The sequence below is a fragment of the Homo sapiens genome, chromosome 4 (genome assembly GCF_000001405.40).
Source record: "Homo sapiens chromosome 4, GRCh38.p14 Primary Assembly".
Lineage (NCBI taxonomy): Eukaryota > Metazoa > Chordata > Mammalia > Primates > Hominidae > Homo > Homo sapiens.
The window spans coordinates 158,535,231-158,559,324 of record NC_000004.12 but is presented as its reverse complement, the minus strand read 5'-3'; the positions used below and the strand labels follow the sequence as shown (position 1 = coordinate 158,559,324).

The 24,094-nt window shown below is 38.3% G+C and overlaps 1 protein-coding gene and 1 long non-coding RNA gene across 24 annotated transcripts in view, besides 2 other annotated features; one reads left to right on the top strand and one right to left on the bottom strand.

Moving 5' to 3' along the window:
* RXFP1-AS1 (RXFP1 antisense RNA 1) overlaps positions 1-24,094 on the top strand; it is a 75,659-nt gene that overhangs the window by 5,345 nt on the left and 46,220 nt on the right. The window lies entirely within an intron of this gene.
* The window catches only part of RXFP1 (relaxin family peptide receptor 1), a 131,659-nt gene that overhangs the window by 94,048 nt on the left and 13,517 nt on the right, over positions 1-24,094 (bottom strand). The window contains exon 2 of one of the 23 annotated variants that reach the window (NR_045579.2): positions 14,919-15,607. The exons of the other annotated variants lie outside the window; for them this stretch is intronic. The gene's annotated coding sequence lies outside the window, so the exon portion shown is untranslated. The remainder of the gene's footprint in view (positions 1-14,918; positions 15,608-24,094) is intronic. 23 annotated transcript variants of the gene reach the window in all.
* Positions 17,991-19,190: an enhancer, noted in NCBI's record as "P300/CBP strongly-dependent group 1 enhancer chr4:159461287-159462486 (GRCh37/hg19 assembly coordinates)". NCBI's record gives its function as "activates an origin of replication core promoter dependent on BRD2, BRD4, P300/CBP, MED14 and CDK7 cofactors, with strong dependence on P300/CBP, by STARR-seq in HCT116 cells {active_cell/tissue: HCT116}" and the evidence as "EXISTENCE:reporter gene assay evidence [ECO:0000049][PMID:35650434]".
* Positions 23,793-24,012: an enhancer, noted in NCBI's record as "active region_22084". NCBI's record gives its function as "activates an Ori minimal core promoter by ATAC-STARR-seq in GM12878 lymphoblastoid cells {active_cell/tissue: GM12878}" and the evidence as "EXISTENCE:reporter gene assay evidence [ECO:0000049][PMID:35858748]".

Below are 24,094 nucleotides of genomic sequence, written 5' to 3'. Positions count from 1 at the left end.
AATTTTATTTTTATTTTTTTGGAGAAAGGGTCTTGCTGTTGCCCAGGCTGGAGTGCAGTGGCATGATCATAGCTCACTGCAGCCTCTAACTCCTGGCCTTAAGCAATCCTCCTGCCTTGTTCTCCCAAAGTGCTGGGACTACAGGCCCTAGCCACTGTGCCCAGCCAGAATTTTATTTTTCAAAATACATTTCAAACTAAAAATATGATAGTAAAGGCACATATAACTTTGTTAAATATGTAAAAATTTTAACACAGTGTAAGTGGTCAACATTTTAACTTATGCAACCAGATTAACCTTTTTTTGTAAACACAGATCTTGAATAAGCATCTTTCCAGCTTTGTTTAAATGAAGAGTGAGATTTCAAAATCTGTTGAGGCTAATATTACGACAGCTGTCACTTAAAATTTTTGTGTTCATATTTGGTTGTATTGTTGATTGATTCTATAATAAATATATTATTTGAATGTACTGAGTAGTTTTAAAAATACTGATCACTTAGCTTGCTTCTTCAATTACACTCTTTCATGTCTACAGCTTTTCTGTACCCAAAAGCTATTTTTTCTATACATGACCAGCAGCAGCCTCGTTTAGAATTTATATCAATTCAGGATTTCTCAGGCCTTCAAAATCTATGTTAAGTTTTGATTATCAAATGTATTTTATACAACTTCCCTAAGGTTTTGATATATTTCTCATAGGGGTGAATATATACCTTGCTTAAGACTATATATCTTTTGTGGCTCCCCACCAACCAAGAACATTTGGTTCAGCTTTATTTTTTTGTAGTTATTAAGGAAAGAATGAGGAATGGTTTTCCCAAACATATATTTATATTAAAATATTGAATATGCTATGCCAAACCACATGTGCCCTACTCTACCCATTGCTCAATTCCAATAGGCTACTCTCTACTGAGAATCTCTGTTTAGATGACTGTGTGTTGTTTGGCTATGAATAAGGAAGGCTCAATGATTTGCTGATATGAAGTTTAATTGGAGGAAGCAACTACCTGCCACTGTTTCTGTGTTCCTCCCGGCTGTGTGTGCATTTGCAAATGTATGCACCAAGCATTAGAGCACACAGAATGAGGACACCAATGAGGAAGGTGATGGCTTCATTTGAATAATTTTTCCTGCTTATTTAAAAAGTAAACTTATTTACTCCTAAAGGTGAGAACAAGTTCCTTCTCAGATCAAGAACAAACAGGTGAGATAGAAAAGTTTAACAAAATGGTATGTAATGCAGGTATTAGTAGGCTTACCTTGTAGGAAAAATGTGTGGCTTAGTAGATATATTTCTCAAGATGTTTTGAAGGCTTTCTGATCAAATCAATGAAATATTTAATATATCTGAATATATCTATGCACTAGGAGTTTCTAAGGCACTGGGAGCAGGACATTAATAATTTTAACAGAGATCGAGTAGCAAAAGAAACTCAGAATGGAATTGAAACACCTACTGGAGCTCCAGTGAAGCAGTGGAGTCAGTGAAGGTGACTCCATGACAATGATGAGGCATTTGGCTCTTTTAGCATGGATTAACTTAACACTTAATGTGGATATAAATGCATCTCGCTTTTAGTGATACTTAAAATTAGACTTTTTTTGAATTACAGTTTTTAATTTGAATATTCTCATCTTGTGTAAAAACCATTCATAGGTTGGGCGCAGTGGCTTACGCCTGTAAGCCCAGCTTTGGGAGTCTGAGGCTGGAGGATTCCTTGGAGCCCAGGAATTTGAGGCTGCAGTGAACTCTGATGGTCACAACTGCACTACTGCCCTCCAGCCTAGGTGACAGAGGAGACCCTGCCTCCAAACAAACAAATACACTCATACTTAAAGGAATTTATCAATTAATTAAAAAATTTTCTAACTGAAAAACTACTCCAACTTAGGTGACAGAAGAGACTCTGTCTCTAAACAAACAAACAAACTGATACTTTAAGGAATTTATCAATTAAAAAAATTTCCTAACTGAAAAACTACTCCAACACATACAAACCTAAATTATTAGTTAAAAATTTGAGAGCAACTTGGAAACATGCTTAAACATTTAAATCCCAACAGCAGAAATACTGAAAAATTATTTACTTTAAAAATTGATACATACATATTGTAATTATACATATTTTAAGGATACAATTTGATTTTTCCATATATATCTATGTTATACAATGATTCAATTAGGGTAGTTAGTGTATCCATCATCTCATGTATTTATCATTTCTTTGTGGTGAGAACATTCAAAAGCCTCTCTTCTGGCTATTTCATAATGTATAATAATTTACTGTTAACCATAGTCACTCTACTGTGTAATAGAACACTATAATTTATTCCTTCTATGTAATTGTAACTTTGTATCCTTTGACCAACTTCTCCCCATCCTTCTCTCTGCTCTGGTCACCACTGTTCTACTCTGTATCTATGATATTATGGTATCACCTTTTTAAAATATTTCACATATGAATGCGATCATGCAGAATTTGTCTTTCTGTGTCTGGCTTATTTTACTTATCATAATGTCCACTAGGTTCATCCATGTTGTCACAAATGATAAGATTTAATTCTTTTTTATGGCTGAATATATGTGTGGCTGAACTGTATATCTTTATATGCATATACCACATTTTCTTTTATCCATTATTCTGTTGTCTGAGACTTAGGTTGATTCCTCACCCTGGTTATTGCAAATGGTGCTGCAGTAAATATAAGAGTGCAGATATCTCTTCAACATACTGATTTTATTTCCTTTGAATATATACCCAGGAGTAGGATTGCTGGATCATATGGTAGTTTCATTTTTAATGTTTTGAGGAATCTCCATAGTTTTCCATAATGGCTGCACTAATTTCCTACCAGCAGTGTGTAAGGGTTCCCATTTCTCCACATCCTCGCCAATACTAGTTTTCTTCTGGTTTTTTGATAATAGCCATTCTAACTGGAGTGAGATGATATCTCATTGTGGTTTGATTTGCATTTCCCTGATAATTAGTGATGTTGAGTATTTTTTCATATATCTGTTGGCCATTTGTAGGTCTTTCTTTGAGAAACATCCATTAAGGTCTTTTGTCCATTTTTCAATTTTTTTTTTTTTTTTTGCTGTTAAGTTTCTTATGTATTTTGGATATCAACTCCTTGTCAAATGTACAGTTTGCAAATATTTTCTCCCTTTCTGTAGGTTGTCTTTTCACTCTGTTAATAGTTTCCTTTGCTGTGCAAAAACTTTTCAGTTTGATATAATCCATTTGTCTATTTTTGCTTTTGTTGCCTGTATTTAAGAGGTGTTATTTAAAAAATCTTTGCCAAGCCCAATGTGGTGAAGTATTCCCCTTATGTTTTCTTCTAGTAGTTTCATAGTTTTGCATCTTACATTTAAGTCTTGAATTCATTTTGAGTTGGTTTTTGTATATTGCAAGAGGGAGGGGTGTAATCTCATTCTTCTACATGTGGATATTTTATTTTCCCAGAACCATTTATTGAAAAGACTGTATTTTCTCCAATGTGTGGTCTTGGCACCTTTGTCAAAACTCAGAAATATTTGAAATGAAGCATTTAAATCTTCTTTTCCTTCTGGAAATCCTTTGAAATTAGGTAGATGGAAAAATAGAGGAACAGTCACGTATGCCAATTGCCAAGTGAGACACAAGTATTGAGTGGATATCAGTGGAATCTTTTTTCTAAGAATGAATCATTCTCCTATGACCATAAAATTGTGTGCATTGTATGCATTTCGTGGGGTCTGTGTGAGTGGTGCACAGAGAAGGAAAAAATGCTGTAACCTGTGTGCGGCTATTGCACCTTTCTCTTTGACATTATTTGGGTCCCAATGTAATTCAAAGACCAAAGCCAGAGAGCAAGTACAGGGAAATATTTTTATAATGTGCTTTTGAGTAAATTGCACCCTTTTCATACAGTAAGGTGACTATGCTACGGCTGGTTATCATTTTTGGGAGGAAACATAATTTTACCTGAGTTATATTCAAATCATGAATTCCTGTCTCAGAACTAAAACCTTAAGCGTTTCAATACACATTTCTTGGGAACTAAGTTCTTAGTGACTTATTGGAGTGGAATAAACTAAGTTTTTTACTCTCTTACAGATTTTTGACAGAAATGCAAAAATACTTACAATTTGTATCTAGGGAACTCATGTAAACAATAACTCAGTAAAATTATAACCCCCATTCTGTAACAACATTAAATGTTAATATGGAAAATTTTAATATCATTGCTCTGAAATCAATGCAGTCACTGCATTAAAGGTAGTTTTGTTTACTTAAATTTAAAATAAAGTAAGAGTGTAATTGATAAATTAATTAAAATATTTTCTGCCAAGCATCAGATTTACTTTATTTTTTTAAAGTATTGTGTTTATTTAAGCTTTACAACATGATATTATGAGATACATATAGCTAGTGACATGGTTACAATAGCGGAGCAGATTAAAATATCTATCATTTCTACTTAAAATGTTTATAATGTTTCCGCACAGCTATGACTTTTTCAAGCACTAAGAGTTTAATTATACTCTATGACTTATTTCCAGCATTTGAAGTCCTTTTACGATCCATGAAAAATATTCAATACACCTATTTTTTTTTTTTACATCATTGCCCCCAGTCTCAAAAGTGTGTAAATAATTTGCTAAAATGTCTGGTTAGGAAGTAAAATTAAACAACAAAACACAAAAGAAAACAAAAAAGGAAACCACACACAAACACAATTTGAAAACCAGTTAAACAATTTGAAAAAATGAAGTAGATCTATATCCACTGATATAATAAGTTGTTCAAGGCATATCATTAAGTTACAAAGTATGTTGAAAAATATATAGTTTGCTTTTATTTGTATAAGATAAAAGACATATATGCTTGTGTTTATAAAATTATGGTATGTTAACATGAAACTGCTAGCAGTGGTCGTCTTTGGGAATTTGGACCAAAAATGGCAGAAGAAAGTGGGGATTTTACTTTTCAGTTTATATACTTAGGAAAAATTTGACTTGCTTTTAAAGAGTGAGTATTCTTTTAATAATAAAAAAAAACTCTGACGTTATTTACAGATAATTCAAGAGTGTAAAAATACGGTTTCTTAGCTATAGAGAAAAAATCATTGAATTGTAATATTAGTTTTCTCTAGATATTTTGTAACAAGGTGGGACTAAGCTAGTGGTTCTTAATTGGGGATTATTTTGGACCCAGGGGACATTTGGCAATGTTTGGAGACATTTTTGATTGTCACAACTTGGGGGTTGCTACTGGCATCTAGTAGGTAGAGTGCAAGGATGCTGCTAAGAATTCTTCAATGCACAGGGCAGTTCCCCCAAACAAAGATTTATCTGTCCAAAAATGTCAGCGGTGCCCAGGATGAAAAACCCCGAACAAAGCATTGGCGAATAATCAGTAGGAAACCATTCAATGCCATTTTTCGGGCTTAGAAAGCGATATCCCAAAGTATGGCACTTTAGCATGCTGAGTACTTTGAACTGGAGGACATTAGAAGGGGCTCAGAAGTAAAGTCTCTCTCTGGCCTTCTCCTGCCCTTTTTTCTCCTGTTCCACTTCTTCCCCCAAGGCAGGCCATAGAAACTAGAATCCCTTTCCCCCTAAATCAGTCATAAAACCTAGAAATATGACTCTAACCTTCCCCTGCCTTTCTGTGTAAGAGCTAGCCATAAAGAAATCCTCTGACCTAACTTGTCTGAAAGTAGATAATAAGACATTCCAGAAGGTGGCCTACCCCGTACCTGCACAAATCCCCACAGTGCATCTCTCCACGGGTCACCCTCCTGTCTCTGCTTCCTTGCTGTTGTTATGGATGAGCTGTCTTTGCCTCTGTCCCGTGTCAGTCCTTCACCTGAGCTTCCAGTTCCATCCCCTCTCTCCTACTCAGGACACATTTTAGCAATTCTCCATTTCTCTCTTAAGCATCATCAATGTTTACCTCTTTTTCTGGCTTAGCCCCTGAAAACATGCTGTTGTGTATCCCTTCTTAAAACAGGACAAAATAAAACAAAAATATTTTATTGATTCAATTATCAATTATCCACTTATATCGCCATTTCTTATCTCTCCTTTTTAACAAAACTTGTCAAAAAATTTCCATACTGGTGTCTCTGATATTGTTATTTTTTAAGAGAAAGGATCTTGCTCTATTGTCCAGGCTGGAGTGCAGTGGCATGATCAGAGCTCACTGCAGCCTCAAACCCCTGGGCTCAGGTGATCCTCCCACCCCAGCCTCCCAAGCAGCTGGGACTTCAGCATCATTCCACCACTTATGGCTATTTTTTAATTTTTATTTTTGTAGAGGCAGGGTCTTGCTATGTTGTCTAGGCTGGTCTCAAACTCCTGGGTTCAAGTGATCCTCCTGCTTCAGCCTCCCAGTGTGCTGGGAATACAGATGTGAGCCATAGCACCTAGCCATCTGATATAATTTTTGTGTTTAGCTTTACTTTTGAAGTTTTGGAAATCTGTTGAACATAACATTAACCTCTAGTTGTAAACTGGGGTTCCCATATTGAACAATACGGTGATACCTGTAGGGCCCTTTGAGGGCATTTTTGTCCTAAAAATTTATCACAGACTCTTGCCAACTTTTTATAGTTTTCATTACAATTTTCTACCAGCTGTCACTTCTACTATCATTAATTTGTCTGCCTCTGTAGTCTCACTATTCTAATTCCCATTTCTATTTTGTAACTTGAACCTGCTGTGGCCAAAAACACGGCTACTTGGACATATTACATTTCTATGTGAAAGTAAGCAAATAAGCTCTGAATGAGGGCCTAAAACAAGACGAGATGTTTTTCTTTTTTTTAATGCCTAGGTTTTGAAGAATCAAAGTTTTTGAGGGTCTAGGATAAGTAATTCTCAGATGAGTGAGATGTCATAATCACGAGTTCACATTCAGTAAGCATTTATTGAATAAATGCACATATTTCCCAACACATAAAGTGGCTGAGGTTTCATATTTATACATTTCTAGCCACGGATTTTGTACTTATACATTTCTAGCATCTGTCTCAAATTATGACAAAACTCTTTTCTTGACTATCCAACTATCACATTTTATTCCTACTTACTGGTGTGGTAACAGTCAGTTTTATTGATTTATGCTGGTAGTGCAGCCAAGAAATAAAAATCCTAAATTAAGGGCAGTTGTATTTCTTCTTAACAGCATTTCCATTTCACACCTTATTTCCATTCCTACTGCCTCAACTGTGATTCTAATCTGTATTCACATCTAGATAACACATTTTTAATAACTTCCTTTGTGACACTTCAGCCTTATTGTCAAAGTGTCCCCAACTGGTCTCAATATACTTTTCTGTTTTTTGAGTGGGTCTTTATTTTTTAAAAATTTCTTTATTTTTATTTATTTTTGTAACAAGGTCTCACTGTGTCACCCAGGCTGGAGTAACCAGTGTGTGATCTCGGCTCACTGCAGCCTTGACCTCCTGGGCTCAAGCAATCCTCCTACCTCAGCCTCCTGAGTAGCTGGGACTACAGGCACATGCCACCATACCTGGATAAATTTTTATATTTTTTGTAGAGACAGGGTTTCACTATGTTGCCCAGGCTGGTCTCGAATTCCTGGGATCAAGCATACTTTCACCTCGGCCGCTCAAAGTGCTGGGATTACAGGCATGAGCCACAGTGCCCAGCCTATATTTATTTATTTATTTTTAATTGAGAAATAAAAGTTGTACATATTTATGGTGTACAATGTGGTTTTTTGATATATGTATACATTGTGAAATGATTAAATCAAACCAATTAACATAATCATCATCTTATATGCTAGCATTTTTTTGTGGTGAGAACATTTAAAATCTACTCTCTTAGCAATTTTTAAGTGTACAACACATTATTACTAACTATAGTCACCATGCTGTACGACAGATCTCTGGAACTGATTTTTTAATTCTTATTTGTTTCAGTCACTTGCTTGGTCCTTCAACAAAGAGAAGTGTAAGAAACCTCACATTTTTTGGCCAACATCTCTCCATTTTTCCCCAGACCCTGGTACTCCCCACTCGACTCTCTACTTCTATGAGTTTGGCTACTTCACATCCTACATATAAAAAGGATCTTGCAGTAGTTGTCTCTCTGTGCCTGGCTTATTTCACATAGCATAATGCTGTCTAGGTTCATCCATGTTGTCACAAATGCCAGAGTTTCTTTCCTTTAAAAGGCTGAATAATATCCCATTATGTATATATACCACATTTTCATTATCCATCATCTGTTGATGGACACTTAGGTCCACAACCCAGTTTTAAAACTTAATAGTCCGTTACATTGACTCCTTTCATGTTGGTCAGTAGTTGCTTTTTTTTTTCTTCATGTTTTAGAGCATTTAATATGTTTTAGGTACCAGGCTAAGCACTTTGCATGCCTTGTTTCACTTTATCTTCATAAAACTCCATTAAATAAGTTCTAATATTATCATGATTTTATAGTTTAGGAAGCTAAAGCATAGAGGAATAAATTGCTTGGATATCATGGAACCAGTAAGTGGTGGAAATGGGATTCAGATGCAGATCCGTCTGATTCCAGAACACGTGTTCTTAACCAATGTGCCTTTACTAATTCCCCATATAGACTAGCTTATGAGCCCTGAAAGGTTATTGATGTTTCTACCTCCCTTTTTTGGACTCATGGCAGTGTTCCTGAATATCTTCTTTTTCACCTATTTAGATCTTACCCTTTAAGATCAAGGTCAGGGGTGGAGCCAAGATGGCTGAATAGGAACAGCTCCGGTCTACAGCTCCCAGCCTGAGCAATGCAGAAGATGGGTGATTTCTGCATTTCCATCTGAGGTACCGGGTTCATCTCACTAGGGAGTGCCAGACAGTGGGTGCAGGTCACTGGGTGCAGCGCACCAGGTGTGAGCCGAAGCAGGGCGAGGCATTGCCTCACACGGGAAGTGCAAGGAGTCAGGGAGTTCCCTTTCCTAGTCAAAGAAAGCGGTGACAGACAGCACCTGGAAAATTGGATCACTTCTACCCTAATACTGTGCTTTTCCAACGGGCTTAAAAAATGGCACACCAGGAGATTATATCCCACACATGGCTCGGAGGGTCCTATGCCCACGGAGTCTCGCTGATTGCTAGCACAGCAGTCTGAGATCAAACTGCAAGGCAGCAGAGAGGCTGGGGGAGGGCCTCCTGCCATTGCCCAGGCTTGATTAGGTAAACAAAGCAGCTGGGAAGCTTGAACTGGGTGGAGCCCACCACAGCTCAAGGAGGCCTGCCTGCCTCTGTAGGCTCCACCTCTGGGGGCAGGGCACAGACAAACAAAAAGACAGCAGTAACCTCTGCAGGCTTAAATATCCCTGTCTGACAGCTTTGAAGAGAGTAGTGGTTCTCCCAGCATGCAGCTGGAGATCTGAGAATGGGCAGACTGCCTCCTCAAGTGGGTCCCTGACCCCCAAGCAGCCTAACTGGGAGGCACCCCCCCAGTAGGGGCAGACTGACACCTCACACGGCCGGGTACTCCTCTGAGACAAAACTTCCAGAGGAACAATCAGGCAGCAGCATTTGCAGTTCACCAAGATCCGCTGTTCTACAGCCACTGCTGCTGATACCCAGGCAAACAGGGTCTGGAGTGGACCTCTAGCAAACTCCAACAGACCTGCAGCTGAGGGTCCTGTCTGTTAGAAGGAAAACTAACAAACAGAAAGGACATCCACACCAAAAACCCTCTGTACATCACCATCATCAAAGACCAAAAGTAGATAAAACCACAAAGATGGGGAAAAAACAGAGCAGAAAAACTGGAAACTCTAAAAAGCAGAGCGCCTCTCCTCCTCCAAAGGAACGCAGCTCCTCACTAGCAACGGAACAAAGCCGGACGGAAAATGAGTTTGACGAGCTGAGAGAAGAAGGCTTCAGACGATCAGACTACTCCAAACTACAGGAGGAAATTCAAATCAATGGCAAAGAAGTTAAAAACTTTGAAAAAAAATTAGATGAATGGATAACTAGAATAACCAACACAGAGAAGTCCTTAAAGGAGCTGATTGAGCTGAAAGCCAAGGCTCGAGAACTACGTGAAGAATGCAGAAGCCTCAGGAGCCGATGCGATCAACTGGAAGAAAGGGTATCAGTGATGGAAGATGAAATGAATGAAATGAAGCGAGAAGGGAAGTTTAGAGAAAAAAGAATAAAAAGAAACGAACAAAGCCTCCAAGAAATATGGGACTATGTGAAAAGACCAAATCTACGTCTGATTGGTGTACCTGAAAGTGATGGGGAGAATGGAACCAAGTTGGAAAACACTCTGCAGGATATTATCCAGGAGAACTTCCCCAATCTAGCAAGGCAGGCCAACATTCAGATTCAGGAAATACAGAGAACGCCACAAAGATACTCCTCGAGAAGAGCAACTCCAAGACTCATAATTTTCAGATTCACCAAAGTTGAAATGAAGGAAAAAATGTTAAGGGCAGCCAGAGAGAAAGGTCGGGTTACCCACAAAGGGAAGCTCATGAGACTAACAGCTGATCTCTCGGCAGAAACTCTACAAGCCAGAAGAGAGTGGGGGCCAATCTTCAACATTCTTAGAGAAAAGAATTTTCAACCCAGAATTTCATATCCAGCTAAACTAAGCTTCAAAAGTGAAGGATAAATAAAATCCTTTACAGACAAGCAAATGTTGAGAGATTTTGTCACCACCAGGCCTGCCCTAAAAGAGCTCCTGAAGGAAGCACTAAACAAGGAAAGGAACAACCAGTACCAGCCACTGCAAAACCATGCCAAAATGTAAAGACCATCAAGGCTAGGAAGAAACTGCATCAACTAACGAGCAAAATAACCAGCTAACATCATAATGACAGGACCAAACACACACATAACAATATTAACTTTAAATGTAAATGGGCTAAATGCTCCAATTAAAAGACACAGACTGGCAAATTGGATAAAGAGTCCAGACCCATCAGTGTGCTGTATTCAGGAAACCCATCTCACATGCAGAGACACACATAGGCTCACAATAAAGGGATGGAGGAAGATCTACCAAGCAAATGGAAACCAAAAAAAGGCAGGGGTTGCAATCCTAGTCTCTGATAAAACAGACTTTAAACCAACAAAGATCAAAAGAGACAAAGAAGGCCATTACATAATGGTAAAGGGATCAATTCAACAATAAGAGCTAACTATCCTAAATATATGTGCACCCAATACAGGAGCACCCAGATTCATAAAGCAAGTCCTTAGTGACCTACAAAGAGACTTAGGCTCCCACATAATAATAATGGGAGACTTTAACACCCCACTGTCAACATTAGACAGATCAACGAGACAGAAAGTTAACAAGGATACCCAGGAATTGAACTCAGCTCTGCACCCAGCAGACCTAATAGATATCTACAGAACTTTCCACCCCAAATCAACAGAATATACATTTTTTTCAGCACCACACCACAGCTATTCCAAAATTGACCACATAGTTGGAAGTAAAGCACTCCTCAGCAATTGTAAAAGAACAGAAATTATAACAAACTGTCTCTCAGACCACAGTGCGATCAAACTAGAACTCAGGACTAAGAAACTCACTCAAAACTGCTCAACTACATGGAAACTGAACAACTTGCTCCTGAATGACTATTGGGTACATAATGAAATGAAGGCAGAAATAAAGATGTTCTTTGAAACCAACGAGAACAAAGACACAACATACCAGAATCTCTGGGATGCATTCAAAGCAGTGTGTAGAGGGAAATTTATAGCACTAAATGCCCACCAGAGAAAGCAGGAAAGATCCAAAATTGACACCCTAACGTCACAATTAAAATAACTAGAAAAGCAAGAGAAAACACATTCAAAAGCTAGCAGGAAGCAAGAAATAACTAAAGTCAGAGCAGAACTGAAGGAAATAGAGACACAAAAAACCCTTCAAAAATTTAATGAATCCAGGAGCTCGTTTTTTGAAAGGATCAACAAAATTGATAGACAGCTAGCAAGAGTAATAAAGAAGAAAAGACAGAAGAATCAAATAGATGCAATAAAAAATGATAAAGGGCATATCACCACCGATCCCACAGAAATACAAACTACCATCAGAGAATACTACAAACACCTCTACACAAATAAACTAGAAAATCTAGAAGAAATGGATAAATTCCTCAAAACATACACCCCCCCAAGACTAAACCAGGAAGAAGTTGAATCTCTAAATAGACCAATAACAGACTTTGAAATTGTGGCAATAATCAATAGCTTACCAACCAAAAAGAGTCCAGGACCAGATGGATTCACAGCCGAATTCTACCAGAGGTACAAGGAGGAACTGGTACCATTCCTTCTGAAACTATTCCAATCAATAGAAAAAGAGGGAATCCTCCCTAACTCATTTTATGAGGCCAGCATCATCCTGATACCAAAGCCGGGCAGAGACACAACCAAAAAAGAGAATTTTAGACCAACATCCTTGATGAACATTGATGCAAAAATCCTCAATAAAATACTGGCAAACCGAATCCAGCAGTACATCAAAAAGCTTATCCACCATGATCAAGTGGGCTTCATCCCTGGGATGCAAGGCTGGTTCAACATATGGAAATCAATAAACGTAATCCAGCATATAAACAGAACCAAAGACAAAAACCATGATTATCTCAATAGATGCAGAAAAGGCCTTTGACAAAATTCAACAACCCTTCATGCTAAAAACTCTCAATAAATTAGGTATCGATGGGATGTATCTCAAAATAATAAGAGCTATCTATGACAAACCCACAGCCAATATCATACTGAATAGACAAAAACTGGAAGCATTCCCTTTGAAAACTGGCACAAGACAGGGATGCCCTCTCTCACCATTCCTATTCAACATAGTGTTGGAAGTTCTGGCCAGGGCAATTAGGCAGGAGAAGGAAATAAAGGGCATTCAATTAGGAAAAGAGGAAGTCAAATTGTCCCTGTTTGCAGATGACATGATTATATACCTAGAAAACCCCATTGTCTCAGCCCAAAATCTCTTTAAGCTGATAAGCAACTTCAGAAAAGTCTCGGGATACAAAATCAATGTATGAAAATCCCAAGCATTCTTATACACCAATAACAGACAAACAGAGAGCCAAATCATGAATGAACTCCCATTCACAATTGCTTCAAAGAGAATAAAATACCTAGGAATCCAACTTACAAGGGATGTGAAGGACCTCTTCAAGGAGAACTACAAACCACTGCTCAATGAAATAAAAGAGGATACAAACAAATGGAAGAACATTCCATGCTCATGGATAGGAAGAATCAATATCGTGAAAATGGCCATACTGCCCAAGGTAATTTATAGATTCAATCCCATCCCCATCAAGCTACCAATGACTTTCTTCACAGAATTGGAAAAAACTACTTTAAAGTTCATATGGAACGAAAAAAGAGCCCACATTGCCAAGTCAATCCTAAGCCAAAAGAACAAAGCTGGAGGCATCACGCTACCTGACTTCAAACTATACTACAAGGCTACAGTAACCAAAACAGCATGGCACTGGTACCAAAACAGAGATATAGATCAATGGAACAGAACAGAGCCCTCAGAAATAATGCCGCATATCTACAGCCATCTGATCTTTGACAAACCTGACAAAAACAAGCAATGGGGAAAGGATTCCCTATTTAACAAATGGTGCTGGGAAAACTGGCTAGCCATATGTAGAAAGCTGAAACTGGATCCCTTCCTTACACCCTATACAAAAATTAATTCAAGATGAATTAAAGACTTACATGTTAGACCTAAAACCATAAAAGCCCTAGAAGAAAACCTAGGCAATACCATTCAGGACATAGGCATGGGCAAGGACTTCATGTCTAAAACACCAAAAACAATGGCAACAAAAGACAAAATTGACAAACAGGATATAATTAAACTAAAGAGCTTCTGCACAGCAAAAGAAACTACCATCAGAGTGAACAGACAACCTACAAAATGGGAGAAAATTTTAGCAACCTACCTATCTGACAAAGGGCTAATATCCAGAATCTACAATGAAGTCAAACAAATTTACAAGAAAAAAACAAACAACCCCATCAAAAAGTGGGCGAAGGATATGAACAGACACTTCTCAAAAGAAGACATTTATGCAGCCAAAAAAACACATGAAAAAATGCTCATCATCACTGGCCATCAGAGAAATGCAAATCAAAACCACAATGAGATACCATCTCACACCAGTTAGAATGGCAATCATTAAAAAGTCAGGAAACAACAGGTGCTGGAGAGGATGTGGAGAAATAGGAACACTTTTACACTGTTGGTGGGACTGTAAACTAGTTCAACCATTGTGGAAGTCAGTGTGGCGATTCCTCAGGGATCTAGAACTAGAAATACCATTTGACCCAGCCATCCCATTACTGGGTATATACCCAAAGGATTATAAATCATGCTGCTATGAAGACACATGCACATGTATGTTTATTGCGGCACTATTCACAATAGCAAGGACTTGGAATCAACCCAAATGTCCATCAATGATAGATTGGATTAAGAAAATGTGGCACATATACACCATGGAATACTATGCAGCCATAAAAAATGAAGAGTTCATGTCCTTTTTAGGGACATGGATGAAACTGGAAACCATCATTCTCAGCAAACTATTGCAAGGACAAAAAACCAAACACCTCATGTTCTCACTCATAGGTGGGAATTGAACAATAAGAACACTTGGACACAGGAAGGGGAACATCACACTCCAGGGACTGTTGGGGGGTAGGGGTAGGGGGAGGGATAGCATTAGGGTATATACCTAATGTAAATGACAAGTTAATGGGTGCAGCACACCAACATGGCACATGTATACATATGTAACAAACCTGCACATTGTGCACATGTACCCTAAAACTTAAAGTATAATAATAAAATAAAATTAAAAAAAAAAAGATGAAGGTCAATTATAGCTTCTAACTTACTTCCTCTATGACCATGTCCATTCTGGGTGATCTGTCCCTCTTTTGAAATCCTTCAGTGCAAGGATGAGATGCTGTCTCATCAGAGTGTTTTATGTTTTTGTTGCTCAGGGCATTCCAAGTTATTGTCCCACAAGGTCAGAAACAAACATGATGTATGTAAATAGACATATTTCTCAACAGACATATTGGAGATGGCAGCTTTATAAACTCAGACTTGCGGTTCATTTGGAACAATGATTTCCAATGAAGACAGTGGTTCTAGATTCTCCTTCATTTATATTTAGGAAGTAAATTAAAAAAATAAAAAGATGGTTCTCTTGTTAGTTCTTCTCTTTATAGACATTTCTAGAAATAAACAGCTGAATTGATCCGATCTCATGGGAATCTTTATATTTAAATGCCCAAGGTAGGGGCAAAATGGACGAAACATGGCAGAATGCAAAAATATGCACCAAGAATCCTCAGAGGCAGATACTACTATATCGATATTCAGTAGAGTTTTGCTTTATTCTTGAATGTGCCAATAAATTGATGGGCAAATTTGGCATGCCACTCTGTCTTACTGGATTTTAGGTTTTCTTCTGTGTCGAAGGAAGAGGCAGTACCAGCTGTTGTAATACTATTTGATTCTAGGTGGGAGATGGAGTGTTAATAAAAAAGTTTGAAAGTTCATTCTTCAGGAGGAAGTACTAGGGAGAGAAGATAAATGAAGAAAAACTGAGAAGAAATATGAAATGGAATAGAGAAGTGGGGAATAAATAAATATAAATACTGACTGGGAGGGCTCAGGGAAACTGTTGGTTGCTACCGATTCTCTATTTCCCATTTTCCTCTGTTAACACAATCCCCATCTTGTTTGTGGAGACACTGTGTTCTGCACCATTAGATGAGGTGACTGCCCCAAGCAATAAGGTGACTCCTGTTTCTGGCTTTCCCTGTTTCCTTGGCAGCGAGGTGGGACTGTGTGACCCAATTCTGACCATGAGACCTAAAAACTAGAAATCTTCTTGGGAAATTTTTGGAAAAGCCATTGCTTTCCTGGTAACTGGAGGAAAATCCAGCTTTACATCACTCTTCCCCTTCTTCCTGCTTTGAACATGAACTTGATGTCTGGAGTGACAGTAGCCATCTTTCCATCTATTAGGAGTCAATGTAACATAAAAACCAGTGCCTGAAGAATGGAGGAACAGGAAAGGTAGGAAGAACCTAGGAGCCTCAGGGCATGGCTGAATAGCTGCCGCAATGCCAGCAAGCACTTACTTCTGGAGTGTGTGCAGGTGTGTGTGTGTTAAACTTATTTTAGGTTCAGGGGTACATGTTCAGGTTTATTATATAAGTAAACTCATGTCATGGGGGTTTGTTTTCAGATTATTTTGTTACCCAGTTACTAAACCTAATACCCAATAGTTATTTTTTTCTGCTCCTCTCCCTCCTCCCACCCTCCACCCTCAAGTAGGCCCCAGTGTCTGTAGTTCCCCTCTTACTGTCCATATGGACTTTATGTGAAAAAAAGATTCTTAAGTTCTTATTTGTTTAAGTCACTGTTGCTTGGTCCTTCTGTTTGTTGCACCTATGATGCCTTTCTAACTGATACAGAAGGAACTGATGAAAATAGCAATACAGACTCTCTACTATGGAAAGGAGCAAAAGAACTGAAATTAAGTAAAGGAACTCTGCAATGATTGCCAAAAGGTGAAGGCAAGGTGTGGGGTTTAGGGTTATGGCTTTCGAAATGACTTGGAAAGTTAGTCAGGATAGATAAATGTGATGTTTTTGTTTGAAGACTGGCTGACAACAATTAGAGGAACAAGGCAGATACAAAAGCAGGAAGTCCTGTGAGTCATAATTTTAAAGAAAAATTGATGCAAATCTAAGGAGGCACTTTAACAGGAGACCAGTCCCTGAACATAACATGTAGCTTTCTTTCCTTGCTGTATTTTTATGGTAAGTTTTGTAACAGTCTTGGGTTTGCAAAAGGCCTACTGTAGGTATATACAAGTATGCTTGCATCAGACACACCTGAATTGAAGAATATTCTATGGAACAACTTGTCCATATTCTTCAAATCTCACAATGTCATTGTTTCCTGATAAAAGATTATACAGCTGCGGCCGCTGAATGCAATGTGTGATCCTGGATTGGAGCCTGGATTAGAAAAGCATCATTCTGGGCCAGGCGCAGTGATTCATGCCTGTAATCCCAGCACTTTGGGAGGCCGAGGCAGGCAAATCACGAGGTCAGGAGTTCGAGACCAGCCTGGTCAATGTGGTGAAACCCTGTCTCTACTAAAAAAAAAATATATATATATATATATATATATATATATAGCCATGGTGGCGCCTGCCTGTAGTCCCAGCTACTCGGGAGGCTGAGGCAGAAGAATCGCTTGAACCCAGGAGGTGGAGGTTGCGGTGAGCTGAGCTCGCACCACTGCACTCCAGCCTGGGCGACAGAGTGAGATTCCATCTCAAAAAAACAAAAACAAAAAAGAAAAGCATCATTCCTCCCGGCCACCCCGCATAAAGGATGTAATTGAGACGATTGCTGAAATATAAATATAGACTTCATGTTAAATAATATGATTTTTCAATGTTAATTGTATTTAGTAATTGTATGGGGGCTAAGAGACTGTAACTCTTTGGAGATACATGCTCAAGTGCTTGCGAAGGGTCATAATGTCGTCAGTGAGTCTCAAATGATTCAGCAAGAAAAAATATATATGTATGTTTGGTGAAGGAGATAAAGTAAATGGGGAAAAGTGTTAACTATGAGTGAATCCAGGTGAAAGGTGTATGGGTATGATTATACTACTTTTGTAATTTTTGTGTATGTTTGAAATTTTTCAAAATAAAGTGTTTTTAAAAAATAAGTTTAGGAAATATTTTTATATTTTAAACTTGGAGCTGAAATAGTTTCCAAGTTTTAAAATTTCCACTATTTTTAGAATATATGACTCCCCCTCTACCTAGAATTTGGGCATATACTCATACAGTTTTTGAGTAAATATGAAATTACCCTGGACACTGTGTGTGTGTGTGTGTGTGTGTGTGTGTGTGCATGAAGCTCTCTGAGAATTCTGGGTATAAGTCACAAAGAATTTTAATTGCCAGTAATATTATTTATGAGATTTTAATTCCACTTCTCCTGTGTATTTATAACTTGGAATCTGTGATTTTTTCTTCCATCTTTAACCAAAAGGACAATTTCAAAGGCATTTAGAGACTTTGAGAGTTTGACAAGGTTTTTCTGGACATGATGCATAGCGGGGATCTAACCTTTTGTGGGAAAATAACAAAAAGCATGACTCTGAATGCCATCAAGGGCAGCCCAGGGCAGTGACTGTTGGCTGACTGCTGTCTACAGACTACAGAAAAGTGGCCACTGCTTCTTTTTTTTAGGATTGCCATGGTGGCTATTATATTGTTAATGACATCTACTTGCCGGTAAGTTTAATTTTAATGCATTTCCATACAACTACTTATTATTCAGCAAAATCAAAGAGGCTTATTTAAAGTTGAATAGTGTGTTTTCCTGCTTTTGCCTTTTTTTGGAATTGCCACAATGTCAGACAACAGCCATCCGTAGTGTGTGCTCCCCACACCTGTACGGCATGTTTACAGCACAGGCTAAGGTGTGGCTGCTGCGGGGCAGGGAGGGTCATTCTTAGACATTCCCAGATGTGCGCTGTGGGCTTTGTACAGCTTTCTTGAACTTCAGTTTCTTCTTCTGGAACATGAGAATTAGTAATGTCAGAGGCATTGGGGTTGGTAAAATAAGGTGGAGATCTAGTAGGCTGCATTCCCAGGAGGTTAGGCATTCTTAGTCACAGGATGAGATAGGAGGTTGGTACAAGATACAGGTCATAAAGACCTTGCTGATAAAACAGGTTGCGGTACAGAAGCCAGCCAAAACCTTCCAAAACCAAGATGGTGACAAGAGTGACCTCTGGCTTCTCACTGCTCATTATATGCTAATTATAATGTATTAGATTGCTAAAAGATATTCCCACCAGTGCATGACAGTTTACAGGCGCCATGGCAATGTCAGTTACCCTATATGGTCCCAAAAGGGGAAGAACTTCAGTTTTGGGAATTGCCTGCCCCTTTCCCAGAAAACTCATGAGTAATCCACCCTTTGTCTAGCATAGAATCAAGAAATAAGTATAAGCTGCTGAGCAGCCCATGCCGCTGCTCTGCCTACGGAGTAGCCATTCTTTCTTCCTTTGCTTTCTTAATAAACTTGCTTTCACTTTATGGACTTGCCCCAAATTCTTTCTTGCGTGAGATGCAAGAACCCTATATTGGGGTCTAGATCGGGACCCCTTTCTGCTAACAGTAACTACCCCCTGCCAGGTTGTTTGGTATGAGCAGATAAAATTAATGGATGTACAAAATCTCCTCATTGTTACCTTTCACAGAAGTCTCAGTATTAGATGACAATTTCCCTTTTTTCTAAACCCACTGCTCTTAACTTCCAGGTTAAGGTATTTCCAGATACTTCATTCCACTCCACCTGTGTGTTTATGACTTGAAATCTGTGATTTTTTTTCCATCTTTAGCCAAAAGGACAATTTCAAAGGCATTTAGAGGCTGTTAGAGTCTGAGACAAGGTTTTACTGGACACGGTTAGCTCTATTGTAACTAATGACTGTACTAAAAATATACTTCCTAGATTCCACACCATCCAATCAATCATCAATCCATGAAATTGTAAGCACCATGGGCCAAACACTATCTGAAATGCTAAGCAGCACATGTGGTCTAATTTGATGCTAAGACCTTCTCTGATATCAAGCAGGTATTACATATGCCTTTTTTCTTTTATTATAAATGTCTACCAGGAACTAGTTAATACTCTTCATCTTTTGTGGAGCACCCTCATCTCCAAACCTTTCCAGTTTGTCTTTTTTTTTTAAATTTTATTATTATTATACTTTAAGTTTTAGGGTACATGTGCACAACATGCAGGTTTGTTACATATGTATAAGTGTGCCATGTGGTGTGCTGCACCCATTAACTCGTCATTTAACATTAGGTATATCTCCTAATGCTATCCCTTCCCCCTCCCCCCACTCCACAATAGTCCCCGGTGTGTGATGTTCCCCTTCCTGTGTCCATGTGTTCTCATTGTTCAATTCCCACCTATGAGTGAGAACACGTGGTGTTTGGTTTTTTGTCCTTGCGATAGTTTGCTGAGAATGATGGTTTCCAGCTTCATTCCAGTTTATCTTTTAATGAACAGAGCAAGTAGTTTCTGTTGCCACTGCCTAACTTCCTCTTTCTGTCCACGATGCCATCTCAGTGTAATGCTTCCCATGATGGGAGGTGGTTGCTAATTCAGGTCACTGGGTTAAGTAGTGAGGAAGGACTCATTTTGTCCCTCTTCCATCATACTCTCTTATTGCTGTTGCCACCTGGGCGTGTTTTGAATGGCCCTTGCTCACCTGCCTATCTGTACTCATCTCATTAGAACAATACATGGGTTGGATGCACATCTGTGGAACGTGTAAGGAAGCACCCTTCTTTTAGAATTGAATTATTTCATAGAGAAGTCATAGATTATATGACCATTTTTGTACCTATTCTTTTTTTTTTTTTTTTTTGAGACGGCATTTCACTCTTGTTGCCCAGGCTGGAGTGCAATGGCGCGATCTCAGCTCACTGCAACCTCCGCCTCCCGAGTTCAAGTGCCTCAGCCTCCCCAGTAGCTGGGATTACAGGCATGTGCCAGGACGCCCAGCTAATTTTGTATTTTTAGCAGAAATGGGGTTTCTCCATGTTGGTCAGGCTGGTCTCGAACTCTTGACCTCAGGTGATCTGCCCGCCTTGGCTTCCTAAAGTGTTGGGATTACAGGCGTGAGCCACTGTGCCTGGCCCCTATTCTTTCTCCCCACAAAAAAAATGCCTTTGGCTTCTCTCTGACTCACAATTCATTTTGCATTCTCTCATCTTTTAGGAATAAAGAATTCTTTTCTCAGCCCATCACCTCCCACTTGCAATCCTTCAGCACTTGACTATCTGAAATGAGTCAACTTCTCATCTCTGCTTCTTTCCCCAGAGTGCGAGCCATCGTGTCTAATTGCAGCTGTCTCTCACTTGGACTTCCTGCTTCCACGCCTGCCTCTTTTCATCCTGTTCTCCACACAGCAGCCAGAGGGATCTTTCAAAATTAAAGTAGATCATTAATGTGTCCTCTTCTAAAACTTCTACTGACATGCCATTGTTCTTGGAATAAAATCCAAACTTTTAACCTTTACCTTTTACCTTACATAAATGGGCCAAACCTATTCACCAACTTGGTTTCTTTCCACATTTCTTCCCTCACTTAATTTGACCTACAAACACTGTTCTCTCTTGATGTGCTAGGTTTGGTCTGACTTTAGAGTCTTGAGTTGGCTGTTCCACCTATCTGAGTGCCTGCATTGTTCTTTCCTCAGATCATTACAAGCCTGGCTGTTCCTCATTCTTCAAGCCTCAGCATAAGTATCCCTCCCTCAGGAAGATTGCTTGGGATCCCTCTATCTATCCCTCTATCCCTTTAAATTCCTTGCTAGTTACTATCCTATTCCACTACATTTTCCTTCTTCACAATACTTACTACTCTTTGAGATAGCTTGTTTATTAGTTTACTTTTTGTTATTTAAATATCACCACCAGATTATAAATTCCCATAGGTGAGGGATCTTTCTGGAGTTGTCCATCATTTATTTCTGATGCCTGTATTGGTGCTTGGCATATTGTAGGAAGTAAAACAAAATTAGTTGAAGGAAAGGAAGAATGAATAATTGTCTGTGTGTCCGAAATACTTAGAAGAGTATTTTAAGATAATGGTGTCGTGAAGTTCTCTTTAATGCATACAGGAAGTAGTTCTTTTCTCCAGACTCTGTTGTCAGCTAGGTAAGACCCAATTTCTGTAACTATCCCCCAAGGGCACTTCGGGCCTGATGTTAACATAGTCTTCCACCAAGACCCTGTTTTCTCAAAGGACATAAGCCCTTTACCTACCTCATAGACACTCTAGGGACTACAGATTTTGTCTGTGAAACAACTAGATTAAGAAAATTTAGTTGTTTTTTGGGGGGACAAGGGAAGGAAAGGATGAAAGGAAGAGATAGTTAAGGAAAGAGAGATAAGAAGAGAAATATTTCAAATGAGGACTAGCTCACCAGTAAACACAGTGGTGGGGATAATGCTATATTCCCCACAGCTGTAGTTTGTCATCAAATATTGGTAAAAATCCTAAAGAGAGGTTGGATTTTAGATTTAGATTCTAGAGCATATATCTATGTTAATCAAATGAACAAACCTATTTTTCTAGTTTAGCTAGGTTTCTTTTAGGTTGGTGCAAAAGTAATTGCGTTGTCAAAAACCGCAATTACTTTTGCACCAAACCTAATATAAATTGACAAATTGGCATAGAAGTCACTTTTTTTGGAAACAGTAAACAAAACTTTGTGCATTCCATGAGTATGGAATTCTTTCAGCTCATAAGTGTAAACGCTATCTAGTACAACAATATTGCAACTCCAAAGTGTATATGATTTCCTGGCTATGTTATTTTGAAACAGTTAATATGAGTTTCCAAATATGCATCTAATTTATGCCAGAAAATAATTTATCCAGTGGAAGAATATGACTTTGTTCAGTTGAAGGCAAACCACTAATCTTTTCATATGTGTATTAAAACTATAATTTTCCATGACCTGTATTTATAATATTTCTAGTCATGTTAGAAGGCATTAGCAATGATTTGCTCATACTGTATACAGTATTTGCAAAAAGAGCCTATTTTAAGTCAGGTATCTCTTACAGTTCAATACTTGGGTTAATAATTACCTGCAAGAATGATTGAATGTATTCTTATTTTAAAGATGTTCTGAGCAAGCTATTTCTCTAGATAGCATGACTATGGTTCTGCAATTCTTAGGGAAATTAAAAGTCTGCTAAGGATATTGAAGTTATCTCTGATTGACGCATTTCCCATAATACACCTTAAACTTTCAGCACTGTTTCATCATACTCTTAAGGTGTCATTTATAAAGGAAAATACAAATGAGAAAAAGTAATGAATTTACACCCATGCATTAAACATATCATGGGTAGTACTATTGATTAAAATGTAAATATATTAAAATAGAGAGAGTAAAATTATATTCTTACAGGTATTAGGCCTCGGTCCTATAAACACAATATTTTAAATTATTTGTCTATGTGCTGTTTTCTACTGCTGTGAGGTTATAGTTGCTGAATAAAATCTCTTAAATCTGTTGATTGATACTTTCTGAGTAACAACCTTTGTGTTGCAAAGTTACTGATTGATTAAAGAGTACAGATTGTATGTACTTCCAGATAATGGGTTCATTCCATTTGATTCAAATAACCGTGTATAAGCACTTTGTCCATCTATTGTCCATTATAGTATGAGACTTTGTTAATGTTTTCTGTTATGTTTTATTTATTGCCTTATTTGTAAACTGGATCAGAGGGCTTTCCAGAGTTAAAGAAAATAGTGAGTTGGAAAATAACACAAGGGAAATAGGAAGTGTGGAAAACACAACGCAGACTAGATCAAACTCTTAAGAATGAGAAATAGAGATAATAGTTGGATATTTATGGAGTGCAATATCAAAAAGGCCGGTCCTATCACAGTCAGGGTATTCAACAAACATTCTGTAGTGTGTTCCACACATATTTTGTGTATTTTATAGATAGGAATAGGGAGAAAATATTTTAAAAATGTATTAAGGTCCCAGGAAAACAATGTGAAAACCAGTCTCTAATTTGACTTGGTCATAGCCTGTATCTTTCCAGTGACTCAAGTGCAATGGCCATGCCCTCTCTAAGGATTGCTTTCAGTTTCTCACATTTTAGTCCATTTTTGGTAATTTGCCTGAGTTACTTCCTTGTGAAAACCAGTAGCTGATTCGACTTGATCATAGCCTGTATCTTTCCAGTGACTCAAGTGCAATGGCCACGCCCTCTCTAAGGATTGCTTTCAGTTTCTCACATTTTAGTCCATTTTTGGTAATTTGCCTGGGTTACTTCCATTTTGTACAAAACCTCGATTTGAATTACTAATATATTACCATCCTAACTCTGGCACATGGCTTACAAAGACCTTCATGATCTGGTTCTGGTGATCCTCTCTAACTTCATCTCCAAGCATCTGCTTCAGCC